At 47.8% G+C, this 16,979-nt stretch overlaps 1 protein-coding gene across 3 annotated transcripts in view, besides 1 other annotated feature; it reads right to left on the bottom strand.

Annotated features, from left to right (window-relative positions):
- Positions 1-7,808, bottom strand: part of NTF3 (neurotrophin 3) — a 64,968-nt gene extending 57,160 nt beyond the window's left edge. The window contains exon 1 of one of the 3 annotated variants that reach the window (XM_047428901.1): positions 6,947-7,808. Coding sequence is in view for 1 of the 3 variants with exons in the window: in NM_001102654.2 (NP_001096124.1) it covers positions 5,798-5,815 (18 nt within the window). In the remaining 2 variants the exon portion in view is untranslated. Of the gene's footprint in view, positions 1-4,807; positions 4,872-5,797; positions 6,033-6,946 lie in introns of those variants that run through there. The other 2 variants (NM_001102654.2, XM_011520963.3) reach the window with 2 other exon arrangements.
- Positions 4,690-5,215: an enhancer, noted in NCBI's record as "H3K27ac-H3K4me1 hESC enhancer chr12:5542091-5542616 (GRCh37/hg19 assembly coordinates)". NCBI's record gives its function as "activates a minimal SCP1, AML or CMV promoter by ChIP-STARR-seq in naive H9 embryonic stem cells {active_cell/tissue: H9 hESC(naive)}" and the evidence as "EXISTENCE:reporter gene assay evidence [ECO:0000049][PMID:30033119]".

The following is a 16,979-nucleotide window of genomic DNA, read 5'->3' as shown; positions in this document are numbered from 1 at the left end:
TAGAAATCCATCCAGGCAAGAATGAGGTAATATCTACACTGGCCTCATACTTCAAGGTTCAACATGCCCATATAAAAATGATCTGAAGGAAGGTGTCCCCAACTTTTTTCTCAGGCTGTCCCACCTGTAAGAAGCAATCCAATGACAATCCAATCTGAGCCAAGCATCCAGATACCTGCCACCCATAACATAAGCTCTACAAATGCCCCATCTACCCAGGGCATCTCCTACGCTCACGTGTCCCCCAGCACGCACGCACGCACATCCTGTGCTCTCCTCTTACTCCACACATGCCTGTCCATGCACAAAGTACATCCACAGACCTTATCAGCAGCACCACACGGGGCTTAGGCTTGTCTCCAGTAGAAGATTTGGTCCTTTTCCAACAAACTCATTTTTAAATAAAACTAAATCTAAAACCCTAGCAACGGTCATTAGTTCAACATCCCCAACGCCAGAAACTGCCTGCCTCGTTAAAGAGTAAAACAGCCGCGGGTGAGGCTTGAGGCAGGGTGGTGGGCTCTAAAGATCTTCTGTGTCAGCCTGCATCCCCTCTCTCACTTCCAGGCAATGCACAGACTTGCATTCCCTCCAGTTGGGGTGGGAGTGCTGTAACTGCTCAGGAAAAGGTCTGGAGAAGCTTGTAGCAGAAGCCGCCTGCTCCGTCAGGCATCCTGAATGTAGGGAAAGAGGAGAGGCCTGAACATCTGATACATCTGGGAGTGGAAGTGAAGACATGGGAAATGTTATGTAATTAAACTCTGCTGGCCTGTCCCGCCTGGGGAATGTGAGACCCATCAGCAGTGACCTCTTCCAATCAACTTAATTGGCCCAATCTCGCCAAGAAAAGCAACAGAATTAGTTTAGTGCCTCTTGGAAATAGCTTAGCTCCTGACTATTTATGGCCACTGAACTCAAGGATGGGAGCCTGACTCTGAGCCAGGAGTTGACAGCATGTACTGACTTCTGGGAGGAATCGGAGGTTTCAGTGTGTTTCCATGCCCCTCTACGACTCCATCTTCATCTCTGGGGAAAGTGGCTGTACCCAACTTGCTGCACTGGGCACAAAGAATTTCAAAGACCCAAAGCCCAGGCTTTCCTCTTACCAGGCAGGCTAGACTTTGCTCTTCTTTTATTCAAATGGTGCCTATGTCAAGGGCAATTATTATTTTTGCTGTTCTCCACGTCACATTTCTTTTGGTGCTGTGGTCTGCATAGCTGATGTTAAAAAATAAAGAAATGTCTGTCTCTGATCATTAATAACATTGATTCTTAGACTACCTTTCCTCTGAATAGCTCAAAGATCTTAAAGATTTCCATCATCTATAATCTAGGTTTGGCTGCCTCCAGCTTCTGGATGAGTAAACTGAGGCAGTTATAAAAAGTTTTATTTACACAATGAGTGAGCAGTAGAGATGCTGTGGGCATCATGATTACTGATTAAGTTGCATTGTAAAGAGAAAGGGGTCCAGATCCTATTTTCACAATGACCTACATACGTGCTAGCACCTGTATTTAATTACATTTCATCTTTGTATGGCTGTATACAACTAAACACATCAAGTTTTGATGGGGGAAAAGAGGAGTGAACTTTCCTTCTCCTTGAGTCATTATATTGCCCCTTTACAAAAAGAGAAACAGAAGAGTTATAGAGATTAAAAATGTCCCCAAAGTCACACTTTTCCCAAGTGGTAGAACTGGACTAGAACTAAGACATTCCCAATCCAGTCTTGCACTTCACCACCCTGCTCTCAGAAATATCTGCCCCGGATCTTCTGACCAATAGTCAAGCCCTATATAAACTATCTCTTACACAGATGAGTTTCCCTCTCAAAAATAAGGTAGACCCTTAAAATGGCACAGCTGTAACTTCATGAATTCAAAAATGTCATGAGTCAAATAAAGTCCTCCCAAACATATGCCCAACGGTGGTCAGAACCTAATCAAATGGGGATCCCCATCGTCTGCTCCAGACAGGCAGATGTGTGCATCACAAAAGCACAGCCTTCACTCTGTTCCTACCCAGTTGCCTCACCAGCCATCTCAGGGTATGGACCCGATCAACGACACCTTTGTCTCATTCCCCAAAGTCTACGGCCCTTCTTTTGTGTACACCTTTTTTCGCTAAAGATGCACATCTGAGTATCCAAGACAATTTTTATCCTTCCCCAGACACACAGAATTCCTGCAAAAACACATACTGGCACCCCCTTCACAAGAGCCAGAATATCCACCCCTCCTATCCACCTCGCTAGTTTTCTCCCAGTTACGTTACTCCAGGCCAAAGTGCATGTGCACGCACCTGCATGCATACCCACCCCCCCAACACACACTCAGGTTAGCTTTACACTCGTAGCCCAGAAAACATCAAAGATGAACAAACACTCCCAGTCCATCTCTTCCTTGATCATGACTTCACCATTCTCCAGCTCCACATAACAGGTCTCATTCCAGCTATGAAGGAGGCTCTGTGTACTCTTAGAAACTCAATCCTTAGAGGGATCTGGACCTGCATTCTGACCTGAAGTGCAGCACCCTCCAATTCCCAGCCCACACCCCACACAAGAAACAACAACACCGTCCAGCTCCCTTCCCAATACACAAAAGTCTACATCATCCCTCTCTTTATGCCCCACTTTTTACAAAACCAGAGATATATTTCAAGTCAGCTTCCCTTTGGCCCCCAAGATCCATAAACATCTCTAGAAACTGAATTATAGACCTTGAAGAAACCTCAACAAGCGTCGAGCTCTGTCTATTTCTGGCAAAATTGCATCAGTTTTACTGAGCCTGGAGAAGGAATTTTTCCAGGGCAGTGTGCCATGCCCCAGTACCCAGCAATGGGCTGAGCATCCAGTAGGCACTCCATTAGCTTTAATTGATTATCAATATGAACTGGTGATAGTGAATTCTCCTATTACATAAGAAACCCATTACAAAACATTATACAACATGCATCCCTGACACCAGGCACAGATAGTGCATTCCTCTACTTACTTCAGTCTTATGCACACATCTCTTCCTGTTCCCACCCAGTGCCAATGCACAAGGACTTTTCCCCTTAAATGTACATCCCTCATTCTAAGCCTCCTCCAATTCTCTTCTCTCTGGGGAGGAAGGAGGGGGGAGGCAAACACCAACACCAACCCGGTGTCCTTCCCTGCAAATGCTTTGTCTTTCCATAAAGAGGATCTGAGCTCACACTTTTCTACCCCCTACATGCCCCAGTGCCATTCCAGCCAAATTTCCCAGTGCACCCTCATGAAGTTCAAACCCCGTGCTCCTCAGATAATCTTCCCCCACCCCCCACACACATCCCTTTGGTAATCCTCAGGCGCCCAACCTTCCACATGCATCCACCTTTCCCTCACACACACAGCCGCCCTCCTACACCACACCCACTCCATGTGTTTGTGCAGGCATGCACAAGCCATCTGTCTTCAACAGGCTGCACCTCTCCTCCTGCTCTGACACCCTTCATAGGCACAGATTTCGCATTAGCTACACCTATGTTCCTGCAAGCTCTTGTCTCCCGCTAAGCACACAGATGCCCATCCGACAGACTCCCCAGAAACACACACCTCCCAGGCACCAAAGAGGGATAGGACTCCAGCTCTTTTGCCACCTTCCCCTACACACACACACACACACACACACACACACACACTTTGGAAAAACATCCCCATCCCTCCCTGACCACTCACTCAATGGTCACAATCTCACTCCATAGATAAGCATATCCCATTCACACACAACCAAACCCTCTAAGTCCAGCTACACTCCAGTCCTCACCAACACAAAATCCCACACACTCTCCCTAGGGGAAATACCCCAGACTTTCTATCTCCCTTCAACACTGTCTACCGGAGCCTGCATTATTTTCCAACCCCCTTACCTCCTAACACGATACCTAAGTCTGTGTGTTTGCGCCCAAGGCAGAGGGGGTTGGAGTTTATCCTCCACATTCTACCTTTCAGCTTTCTTTGTGTGACATGTCAAAAAGGAATTGAGGGCAGGCGGGAGGCAGGCTGAGTACGCTGGAGAACTTCTGAGTGTTGTGAAAACAGGACCTCTGGAAAAGTCTCCTCTATGTTACAACTTTCTCCCATCCTGACGTTTAGGACAGAGCGCTTCCATGTTCTCCTCGTTCGCTGTTTTGCGGGGTAGGAGCGGGCACCTCTTTATTTAAAAAGCAGGTCGCTCAGTGCACTCCATAATCAGCTGAGTTACAAACATCAGGCTCCAGGAGAAACACCCACCCCTTCCAGGCTCCCCTCCCCTCTCAGCAGGCCCTCGCCCCCGCCTCTTCACACACATAAACAAGTCCACAGGCGCACAGTCTCCCGAGCTCTCTAGCTCTGAGCCCGGCGCTCCCGGGAGCAACCTCCATTCGGACTCAGAACCTGCCGCCCGCCGCCAGAGGCCGAGGCCAGACGATCTTTTCGGTGTTTCCCCCACCGGCAATCCCACCCCAGCCTCGATTCCAGCAAAAGGGATCCTTTCTAGTCCACAGCCCCGACACCGTCGGACGCAAGGGTCTCAGTGCCGTGCATCTGAAGCGCAGACGACGAATGAACGCAGCAGCCAAACTCCCGCAAAGAAGCAGCGCCTCCTGGACGCGCACCCACTCCCGCGGAGAGCAACAAGCAGAATCCTACTCCCCCATCCCATGCCCTCGGCCCTCGCCCCTCCTGTCCCTAACCTTCAACTCCCAAGCGTCCCAAATTTCATCAGGAGCATCCACCACTGAGTAAAGCTCTGGGGCAATGGGACAGTTCGGTCCGTCGTGGGACCTTTAAACTCCGACCTGGCTGGCTGCGCGGGTGCCCAGGTCTCCCGGCCTCCCACGCCACCGCTCAAAGTCCGAGAACAGGCTGGACGATACCGCAAGGAGATCCCCTGGGATGGCCGGGCCCGGGTGCCCGCCGCTCCCCGGAGGGGTCCCAGATGTGCGGGCTGCGTACGGAGCTCCAACATCTGCGCAAAGGCCCAGGGTGGGGTGGCCACCGGGTGGGCGCTGGCCAAGAGGAGCCCGGGGCGCGAGGTCTTTTCTGAAAAAACCCTTTCGGGGAACTCCAACGCAGGTACGCGGCGCGTGGCAGTGAGTCCCAACTCCCAAAACTGGAACGCGAGGTTCCGGGTCCTGAGCTGCGCGTCCCCTCCCCCCAGCCCACGCCCGGGCCAGAGTGGTGCTGGGGCGAGCTGAGAATCAGGCTCAGCGGCCGGCAGAGTGCAGGGCGTGTGCAGGGGAGCTGCCGCGGCACCTCCCCGCCCGGAGTTCTGTCTGCCACCCCCTTTTGTTATAGGATGCGCTAGGAGCTTTCTCGGAGGAGCAGGCGGGTCGGTTGGGAGTGGTGGGTGGTTGATTCTGTTGAATCTCTTTCCTGCTCTTTCGTCGTCCCCATTTCCCCTCTTCTGCCCCCACCCTTTCCAATCCAGGTCCCTTAAACCTGATCACTTTCCCAGATTGAGGGAAGCTTCTTGGGCAGCCGAGGGACAAGAGGGGAGGAGGTGGAGAAGGGTGTCCGTGTCTGTGTGTGTGTGTGTGTGTGTGTGTGTGTGTGTGTGTGTGTGTGTGTGTGTAGCGGGGTGGCTGCGGTTGCGCTTCGGCCTGAGCAGATCCCAGCGCAAACTTTGGGGAAGACACAAGCCCGGGAAAGTGAGTGAGCGCGGCGCGATGGGGGTGGGGCGGGATGCGGATCTGGGGCCCCCCGCACCAGTCCACTGGAAAATCCCTCCCCACGTGGACCCCCATCCCCAAACCTGCCCACCCAAGGTGCCCGCCGCCTCCCCTTACCGTGGCAAAAGTAACCATGGCATCCGTGTGGCCGTTTCCAGGGACGTCGACATGAAGAGAAAGGTGGACGCGAGCTCGGTCATTCAAAGTCTCCCCCACCCCGCCGCAGCCACTACCCAGCAGGGGAAAAAGGAGAGGAAGAAAGAAAGGAGAGAGAAGAAAGTAGTTGCGCCGGGCTGCGTCGCGGGGCGGTGCGCGGAGCTGTTCGGAAGGGAGAGGAGCTTCAACTCTGAGTCCCGTGAACAGAATCTGCGCGGTTATAACCAGCCAACCCGGCCAGATGGCTCCGCGCTCAGCGCCTTAACCCCTTCCGCGCCGCGCCGCCCTCCCCCGCCGGCCCGCGCCGCGCCGCGCGCGCCCGCGCCCCAGAGCCCCCCCCCCGCCCTCACTTCGGGACCCGTGGCGGGGAAGGGGTCATTTCTCCTGGCCCCTCTTGAAAAACAAAACCAAACCAAACAACAACAGCAACAAAAACTTCCAAATCTGTAGTATTCTTCAGTAACCCCCACCCTTGAGTTCCCTTTTAGAGATCCAGGAAAAAACGAAACGTTAAATGTATCGTAACAGGTTACATGTTAGTGTCTTCAGCCTTTCTTAGTGGTTCTTTTTCTTGAAATTTTTCTTTTTGATCTTTTTTCTTTCAAGATTTTCTTTACAAGGCATCAGGGCCTTTTCCTGCCTTTTTCCTCAGGAGGATCAGGTCTGAGGCGTAAACTCCTCCTCCAAACCTTAGACCCTTCCAGCTCCAGATCTCTCCCCACCCCCTACCAAGCCCACCCGCCACTCCTCCCCCCACCCCACAGCACGAACACGCCCAAGGACAATCGCTCCCCGGCGAACTCCCCGCTCCCGGGGACCCGCACCCAGGACGCTGTGTCGGCGGTCAAGGGAGGTCAAGGTAGAGGGGCGTGGGGGCGGGTGGTCCGAGGGACTAGGGAGGGGCTGTGTGTGCGCGCGCGTGTTTGCGGGAGCTTGAGTGTGGAAGGGAGAGGGAGATGGATCGCAGCCTCCCATTTCACCCATCCTCCAACTTCTAAACCCCTTCCTTCCAAACTAGGATGGGGCCCTGCAGCTAATCACTCGCCCAGCACCCACCAGTCTGCACGCGGGGACAGCGCGAGAAGCAGGAAAGGCGAGCAACAAACAAACCTGTTCGTGGCGCCCCGAAAGTAATGACGCTCACTTCCCCACCGGTGGATACATTCGAGGAGAGGATAGGGGGAGGGGGTCAAAATCTCTTATTTGGAGATAATTTTAGCTGCCCGTTAGACCTCACTTGCTCCGAGCCGTTCTCTCTAAATTTACCAAGTTAAGTCATCTTGATTTCGCCCATTTGCCATCGAGAGAAGGGGGAAAAATACCACTTAGTGATCAACGAGAAATCGAGAGCCCGGAAGCAGAGTTTTGCCCACTTGCCCGCTTCCCGAGTCCTTGCGTGGTGGACCTCCGCTCCAAGCCCCTCATCCCTTCCTCCCTGCCACTTCAGCCGCTCCTCACATCATCTCCTGCCAGGACCTTTTGACTCACGCGCGACTGGGAAGGGCAGCGAGTATCCCGTTTCCTCCCTGCCCTGTCGTTCGAGGTGTCTAATAAGCAAGCCGTTCCGCGTTTCGGTTAGGGCCCAGGTTCAAAAAATCCAAATACCTTGAAATTGCTTGAGAATTTGGTTAAACATCGGAACTGCACCCACCAGTTCAGGACCAACCGGCCGCAGAGAGTAGCTGGGGGGTTGGATGGGGAGGTGGGAAGGGAGGGGGGAGTCTGGGGGCTGCGTACTAGATAGATTGTACCTGCCTCATCATTATCCTGGCTGATGGGGGTTGCCACATCGAAAACCGCCAGAAGCGCCCACCGAGGCCCAGGGGCGTCACCTCCTGCGGTCCCTCGCAAGGGTAGGGTAGTCCTTCAGTGGCTCCCCTCGTGCCAAAATATCGACGTCTTCCTCAGGGCCAGAAGAGGCTGCCGAGTCGTTCCCTCCACCCAGCCACACAGCACCATGAAGGTTTGGATTGGGCGTGCTCTGTCGGGTTCTGCTTTTCTCCCTCTCATCTGGCCCGCCTCCCTGCCCTCCCCCACTTCCCGCACTTGCCCCCCTCCTCCAGCTTCTCGCCCTGGTCAAAGGAGGGATTCAGGCCCCAGTTTCAGATCCACTGGCAGAGTTCTTTTCTCAAGCTCCAGGTCCTCTGGGAACCTGAAGATTGCAAGGAAAGAGGTGGTTGGCTCCTGCTGCAGCAGGGAAGGGGTTAAATACATGTGCGGGCTGATCTGCAGGCAGCTCCCAGGTCCCTGGCAGTCTGGAGGGAGGAGGGGAAGGGGGGCAAACAAACTTGAAAAATCAGAAGAAAGGAAGGAGAAGAAAAGGCAGCAAGCAGTGCGTTTAGGACTTGGATTTGTTCTGCAGATGCCTTGCACTGGCTGGCCGCGTCATTTTGCCGGGACTTTCGGGGATCCCAGAGTTTGTCTTATTTCCAACTCCAAGGGGTTTTGTCCTAAGCTGGTGGGTCTGTCTTTGCTTGCAATCAACAGGCCTTGTAATATGAGAGGTGACACCTTAATCTTGCCAAATATGTGCTGTGTCTTTGTGGAGAGAGGGGAGGAGGGACTGAGGGAAGGAGGGAGGAAGAGGGAGAGACCCAGACAGGAGCAGAGGGTGAAAGATGCACTTTTTCTCAGAAGGATTGGTTTCCCAAAGGGAGAGCCTTAGCCCTTTTCTGAGTAGAAGACCTCTTTCAGACAGTCTACCTTGAGCACCGCCAACTGCCTTTTCCTTTACTGTTTTTCTTTAGACTTCAGACCTAAAGATTTCTTCCCTCTAAGACTAGGGACTGACCCCCCAGCTCGCTGTTGTGGCTTCCAAGGGAGTGGCAAGGTGCTGAATGAAGAAGGTGGGAAGAAAAAAAGAATTAGAAAGGTGTATTTTTAAGAAGACAGAATAAAAAGATCATTCTCTACTATGTAGAGCCATTTTTAAACTAGAATATTGTGACTTCTAAGTAAATCCGTGTTTCTAAATAGAGATTTTTCTTTTCTATAGAAATACCATTGGTATGGATAGCAAAAGCAAAGATCAGGACTGGAAAGTAAGCTGGCTGCGAGCTTGTGCCCTGTACATAGGCCTGGTTAAGGAAGCATCCAGGATGAGATCTTTTAGGATTCACTAGGTAGGTGCTCCTCTCCAAGTTGACTTCGTGGCCATGACTTTGGCTGCCCATCTGTCGACTGTATTTTTAGGTTGCTGAACTTTCTTCTTCTCCCTGCTGCATCTGAGAGTAAGGCCCTGACTCCTGGAAGTGATTTCTGAGAGCAGGAATCAGATCTTGTTTTTGAAAACCCCCTTTAAAACTCTCTCCTAAAGCAAATTTCCAGAGCGTGCCTTCTGGTTACCCTTATCTTTTGCAATAGCACCACTCTGTGGTTGGAACACTGAACAGAAACAAAACGGCAACGTGGGATTGAATTTTGCCTTTATCTTGTGAAAACAGCACTTATCTCCCTATGTTTGAGCTCAGTGGACTGAATGCTGGTGGTGGGGGCTCAGCGTGTGGTGAGGGAGGGGGTCTTGTGCAGTGGCAGTATGTGGTTAATTCATTGTGACATGTTGACCCAGGAAATGAGAGAAGTGGACCGAATGGCCTCCAAGGACCCTTTCCGTGTCAAAGACAAGCTTGTTTTTTTTCCCCATGATCGTGTAGCTAGCCTTGAATGTCTGTCCTCTTCCACTGCTTTTCTTTTTCTCTCTTTTGAGGTTACTAAAATAAACACCACACTTCTCACTGATCCTGAAGTATTTGCAAGTTGCATCTTCTGCTGCTGGAGGGCGCTGTGGGGAGGTCTCGCCCTACCCCCTCCATCCCCACCCCCATCCACCCAGACAGCTGCTAGAGCTGATGGAGTCTGGAAGTCTTCGTTTTTCAAACAATTAAAGTGAATGCAAAAGGTGTTTGCACAGGGACTGGGAGCTTAAGGGTCAGGAAAGGCGGCTTCATGCTACCTTTGTGCCTCCGCACTTGAAAGATTCCTGGCTGCCCACCCGTTTCTATATACTGGCAACAGCATTATTCACCAAGAGCTACAGGCTGTCAAGCCATATAGCAATTCCTCTCAGATGACCTGGAGTCACCTGTGAGACATTCTTCTTTTCTTTCAATTCGCATGCACTTGTCCACAGAAACTGAGTGGCTTGTTTATGTTTATTTAACAAGACCAGGTCTTCCCCCAAATTTCTGTCATTTTAAGAAAGCACAGCTTTGCTCTAAGGACTAGCATTGATCTCTCTACACAGAATACAGACATCAGAGATAAACTTCTATCAGCCCCTATGTCCCCCACTCTGCATTTAATAACTGAGGAAACTCAGAATAACAAAAAACAAAAACAAAAACATAATGACAGACCACGACCTAGAATTTACTGCCAGAGTAGATTTTGGTGCCTGAGAAAAGCAGGTTCCCCTCTACCTTCTCCACTCAGTAGCCATGTGCTTTTGTACAGGTTTCTTAACTTCTTAGAACCCATCTGCAATTGGTGAAGACAACACCAATCTCATAGAAGTAATATGAGGACCAAAGGAACTAATTAATTTAAAACATTCAACACAGTGCCTGGCACAATGTGAATGCCAGTCCCGATCTGCTAGTCCTTACACAGGAAACACTGTCACACCACTGGGGGAATGAGCTATCTTTAGAAAGAAGCTTGGCTCTGGAATGGCCTGTGTATTATTATTTGTATGCCACTACACATTTCATTAATGTAATTTTATGGATGTATATTTTCCCCTTTGGACAAATACAGAAATAAATCAGCAGAATGAAGTAGTGGACATATTTAGAATTTATATAGCTTCCCAACGTGGACCTCAATGTGCATGAAAGACAGAATTGAAGGATTTCAAAATCTCGTCTTATTCATTCTCTGCCTTTCACCCAGAACCACCTCATCATTTAAAAGGAAATTCCACCATATCCTTCAACTCTTAACAGATTGCCTGGTATATTATTGGTTTGTTGTTATTGCTAATTATGTTCTAGGGCTTACATTGAACAATATAATGAATTGCATTGAACAACGGTGAATCAACTTATTCTGTGACATGGCATACATATTCATAATTACGTTTCAAGAAATTACCCGTAATGATAGAGGGAAGGTATGTATTCCTACCACACAGGTGGATGTAGAAATCATAATAAAGTCTCCTATTTCACCAGTCATGACATGAATTCCTAACCACCCTATAAATTAACTTTATGCTGCACCAAACTCCACTCATAAAAAAATGACATTAAGGTTTCCTAGGTAACTAATGCATTTCCAAAGGGAATAGGTCTCAGGAGACAAAGAGGGCAGGGAAAAGGGTGGGGAGGGGAAGTGAAGAAAAGAGAAAAAAACATCCGATGAGACCCACGTGACATAAACAAAATATTTCACGGGGAAGAACCCATAAAGTTTTACTGCCGGGGTCTGACACAGATATGGCATAGCCATTAATTCCATCTTTGGATGATAAAACACTCGATAGACTATCCCTCTCATCACGTATGCTGGCATTTCATATTTCAGATCCAGTTCTACAAATCTTGAGAGGGATTTGACCCTTCCATTCATCTGCTAAGCTGCGTCCACTCAGCAGCCAGCTGACTCTTGTGCCCTCCACCAAATGTTGAGATGAATGTGAAAAACAGGGTTGATTTGCATGTTTCAGAATATACAGATGCTTTTGATCACTGTGGACTCTTAAAATTTTGGAGTGGATCTGTTAGCCTTAGCAGAAGGCTGGGGCCTGAGAATTGAATTATGGGAATGGAGGTTTGGTTTGCAACCCCTCAACTCAGTGGCATTTTCACTGCAGCTTTCTTCATTTGGAGGAGGGTCTGGATGCAAAAGAACATCTTGAATGCTTTGGGCGAAAATGGCAAGTTGTAGGTGGAGCTTAAGGCTGAAATTTACACTGTAGGAACAGAGAAATTCTGACACGCAATGCAATCCAGAGAATTATCCTGGGTTAGAGACAGGGAGATAGGGAAATGAGATCCAGAGTCTTGTCACTGTTTTGTGAGCTCAGGGAAGTAACTAAACTTTTCAGTTTCTTGGTTTTACCATGTGTAAAGGTACTTAACCTCATTTTCTTTCATGACTGTGAATATAAATAAGAAAACAAAGAACACACTAATGTGAATACAGTTAGAAATTTTGTATTATCTGATTTCTTCTATTTTCAGTAGCCCCAGAGTGACATCTGTGAGTGAAGTCTCCAACTGGTTACAAGACACAGCCAGGTGACTCCTATATTCAAAGTGTGGCAAGTTTCCCTGCGAGTCCCATGGCTGACGTGCTCCTACCCATTAGCACTGGGCAGTCAATGTAGAGTAAAGCCTGCCTTTTGCACTTTCCCTGACCTGCTGGAGAAAGGACACAGGACACAAATTCATGGCTAGAAAGCCAACTGGAAAACTAGAACTGTTTCCATCACACAATGTCTTCCATTGGGTTTGAAGTCATTTTAGGCTTTAACTCTGTAGGGGGACTTGGAGTGGCACTAGGGATTAGAAAAGCATTCTGGCCACACCCTGCATTTACCACTTTTACTGGTAGTAAGGGGCAGGGAATGTCTGGGAAGTAAATGCCTAGCAACTCAAGGTGCAGCCTTTGCAGGGATTTGAGACCAAGCAGGATGGGAACCTAGGTCTCCTTACTCCTAATTGAGACCCATCCAGGCTAGCCATGCCTAAGAGCAATGCGTGATGAAATGCCCCTCGAGTACTCACCTCCTATACACCTGCCCCCAGGGGATCCTGCAAATGTCACTTCATCCATCTTCCTGCCCCCAAGACCAGCCCTCACCTTCCACTGATAGGTACAAAGCAGGTGAGGTGGGGTGAGGGGCAAAGAAGGTTCATCCTAATCTCCTCGTGTTTCCTTGAAAATATTCCTCTCTCTACTCAGCAGTTCAGAAAAACTGAAGAGAGAGAATGAGTCACTGAGTTTTTACTTTAAAGACCCTCTGTCCAGTGTTCCCATGAAACATTAAAAAGAGGTATTAGTTCTTGGAGGGGCTAGAAAATATGAGTTCCAGTTAAAATAAGCTTACATACCACTACTATCTCCAACACACACAAACATATACAGACAGACACACCCCATGCAGCCAACCCATCGGATGATTTGCTATATTTACCAGTCAGTTCGCTGATGGTTCTGCTCCTGTCCCCACCCTGAGAGCAGGCTGTCGTCAGGCCCCAGTTCAGAATGCAAATAATGCTCAAAAAGCCAAGGGTGCCCATGCTGGGCTCTCGTCTGTTCAAACCACAAACTCCCAGCACAGGAGGGAGGGAACGTTAGCACGTGGAAACTTTCTCTACAGATAATAGCAATAGGTAACATTTATTGAGTACTTACTGAGCATTGGGTACTTAATAATCTTAGCATTATAGGCCAGGCACTGTTTTAAGCAGCATGTGCATGTGTGTGTATATGTATATATAAAGGTATCTATACACACACATGCAAACACATATGTGTGTGCATACAGATACATATACATATATATACATAAACCAGCACACACACACGTACATATAGATATCTATATCTATACCTATATCTGTATTATCCATGCCAGCATACATATCTATATCTGTAGCTATACAAGCATGCACACATGCACACATGCACTGGTTTTAGCACTAGACTAAGAGGCAGAAACCTGGTTCATGTCTGAGCTCCTCTGTGTGATCTTAGGCAAGTTACGTGTCTTCTCCTAGGCTTCAATTTATTAAATATGTCAAGTGGAAATAATAATGGCACCTACTTTGTAGGCTTTTTTGTAAGGACTCATGATATATAGGTAGGTGCTATTATTAGCTCCACTGTACAGATTAAGAAAATCGAGGTATAAAAAGCTTATATAACTTGGCCAAGGATACATAGGTAGTGAATGGGTGGCAAACAGAGGTTTGAACCCCAGCTGTCTGTCCCTCTGCACCATCTAACCTTGATAGAGTGACATTTTTCTCTTTATACATATGAAGAAACTGAGTCATAGGAGGAGATAAGCAACTTGCCTAAGATTACACAGAGGAGCTCAGACATGAGGCAGGTCTCTTGTTCCTTAGTCCAGTGCCAAGACCTGCAGTAGGAAGGTTGCAATACCCACAGAGCCAGCCCTCCTGGACCCCAGGTTGTCCTAGGGCATGAAACGAGGAAGGAAATGGAGACTGAAAGTAGGATAGGATCAGGTGAAACCATAGGCCTTTGTGTGCGCTAGGTGTGCACACCTTTCTAGGTGAATGTAGCTCACACCAGGACACTCACTTGGCACATGGAAGAAGAACTGATTCCAACACCCACCCATCTCTTCAGCTGGTTCCTTCATGCAGACATAACCTATGTAACTCTTTATGACAGCCTTGGGTACGAGAGCTCCCACAAGCAGACAAAGCCACTCAGTGCCAGGTTGTTAAGAAATTTGTCCAAGGGAACAGGCCATTGGCTTTGCTCCAGAGATTAAAAGGCCACTAATTAAAACTACCAGGGTTTGCAATATCAAGATATACAGGAAAAAAGTTGAGCCTTGAGTCTCTAATAAGTATTAACTCTGTAAATGCCTGCTCAGAAACTACAGGATGTTGGATTAGAACATTATGGGCAATTGATGTTCTGTTACCTATGTTTCATTTGAATCCCATCCAGGCACAAATGTCTACTCATGCAGATGTCTCTTCCTTTAACACAGACATAGACTTAACTGTCATTTAGACCTCAGACTCCAAAGGCAAGCCAGCGTTCAAAACCTGCCATTGAATGAGTTTTAAAATCTGGAGCTGCTGTCAAGATAGTATCTATGGGCATCGGATTTGCTTTTTTTTTTTGAGACGGAGTCTCTCTCTGCCGCCCCAGCAGGAGTGCAGTGGCGCGATCTCTGCTCACTGCAAGCTCCGCCTCCCGGGTTCACGCCATTCTCCTGCCTCAGCCTCCCCAGTAGCTGGGACTACAGGTGCCCACCACCAGGCCCGGCTAATTTTTTGTATTTTTAGTAGAGACGGGGTTTCACCGTGTTAGCCAGGATGGTCTCGATCTCCTGACCTCGTGATCCGCCCGCCTCAGACTCCCAAAGTGCTGGGATTACAGGCGGGAGCCACTGCGCCCAGCCCGGATTTGCATTTTACTACTCCAGCATATCTGCCTCTGCCTCCAAACAAAGATTAGAAAATTCCATTGGTCCTTTTCTCACTATATAAAATAATTTTCATCAGAAGTTTTCAACAATGAGTCTAAAAGCTAGAAATTAGTTCCATTGGAGTGAGTAGAGAGAATAACTTTACAAATGATGACAACTATTATCTTTCCACCTATGTTCATCTCCCCTAACTGACTGTATGGATACCTTAAAAATAAAGAAAATAAAAGAGGTGCACAAGAAAGTTGCAGATAACCTTCCAGACATAAGAAATTAATGAACTAAAAACAATGATTTTGCCCATGGTTAGCAAGGAGTCTGTGGTTAAGTTGAGAATGAAATCACAACTGGTAGGAGATGCCCAGTGTGAACTCTGGTCCACACCCCATATCTCAAGTTGGAAAACAGACTAGCTGCCAGGTAGACGCAATGAATGAATGACATGCGTTCAATGGGGGGTAACTCAGATTCCCCTAGTCAATCCCCTCATTTTACAGAGGAAGTAATTGTAACCCAGGAAAATGAGCACACCTGCCAGAGACCACACAGACAATCAGACTCATCAGTGAGAGTGTGGAGCCCACTCACCTGATTCCCAGGATGCTGCTGTTTGTCTACTGTGTTCATACAGCCCCCAAGAAATAGGCACATCTGCTTTCCTTCTGGAAGCGTTTCATTTCCCTCCAATTCCTCCCTTCCATTTCTTCTTTCCTCTCTTTCTTATTTCAGTGTATTTTAATATTTCCTTTATTTTGTTCCTGTTGTGAACAACTGGTCACACAAGGGAAAATTAACTTAAAATGAAGAAGGCAAGGTTTTAGTAGGAGCTAGAAAAGAATTTTAATCACAGGTGGGATTAAAAGACAGCTTTAAAAGTGTAATTACTACTTTCTTATTTCTGATGACATAAGGTTGGTCTTTTCTGAAGAAACAGGATTAAATAGATGAACTCTATCTCTTTTTCAATAATATTATTATAGATGACCTTTTAAGGTTCCCAACTGAGGAAATCTTTTTTCTCCACATCTTTCTTGCTTTTTTATCTTCTTTGCTTTGTAGTAAAGATAATGAAAGGATCTATTTTGCTGAGGAAATGTTTCTTTGATATAACTTTTTTTTTTTTGAGACGGATTCATCTCACTGTGTTGCCCACATTGGAGTGCAGTGGCATGATCTTGGCTCACTGCACCCTCCACCTCCTGGATTAAAGATATTCTCGTGCCTTAGTCTCCCGAGTAGCTGGGATTACAGGCGTGCACCACCATGCCCAACTAATTTTTTGTATTTTTCTTCTTTTTTTTCTTTGTAGAGATGAAGTTTTGCCACGTTAGCCAGGCTAGTCTCAAACTCCTGGCCTCAAGTGATCTGGCCGCCTTGGCCTCCCAAAGTGCTGGGATTATAGGCGTAAGTCACTGCGCCTGGCCCCCAGAACTTTTAATTTTAATTTTCCTGTGATAAAGCTATCAGTAAGTCCTGGGATAAATTCTTAACTCTTGTATCTACCTGCTAATTACTTTTTCATAAACAAACCGACACCAATATCTAGCATTAGCATTGTGGATCCCAGGAGCCTAGGAACATCCAACAAATCGGAGTAGAAAAGATCCAGGTATCTATAGGGTCATGAAGTAAATGGAAAGTGTGACTAATCTGCAAGATTCCAAGGAGTAAAGCTAGGATTGATGGATGGAATTTACAGGGGTGCAGATTTCAAGTTAAGACAAAGTTGATGGTTCTGATATACAGAATTTCCAAAAATAGAATCCTTTGCCTCCACAGCTGAGGAGCTGTTCTCTGTCACTGGATGAGCTTAGGTATGAGACCACTTTGAAACATTGTTGTGTAGGGGTTTCAGATTTGGATAAGTGGTAGTCAAGATTCCTTCCAAACATGAGATTGCACATATCAGTGATCTGGTCACTTTAGCAAGTATGTACTTTCCCAAAGCATAATGTTTCTGCCACTGACATGGAAAACTATTTTTGGTGGTACATGGATAAACAT

This window comes from Homo sapiens, chromosome 12, assembly GCF_000001405.40.
Source record: "Homo sapiens chromosome 12, GRCh38.p14 Primary Assembly".
Classification (NCBI taxonomy): Eukaryota; Metazoa; Chordata; class Mammalia; order Primates; family Hominidae; genus Homo; species Homo sapiens.
This window is presented reverse-complemented; position numbering and strand designations above follow the sequence as displayed.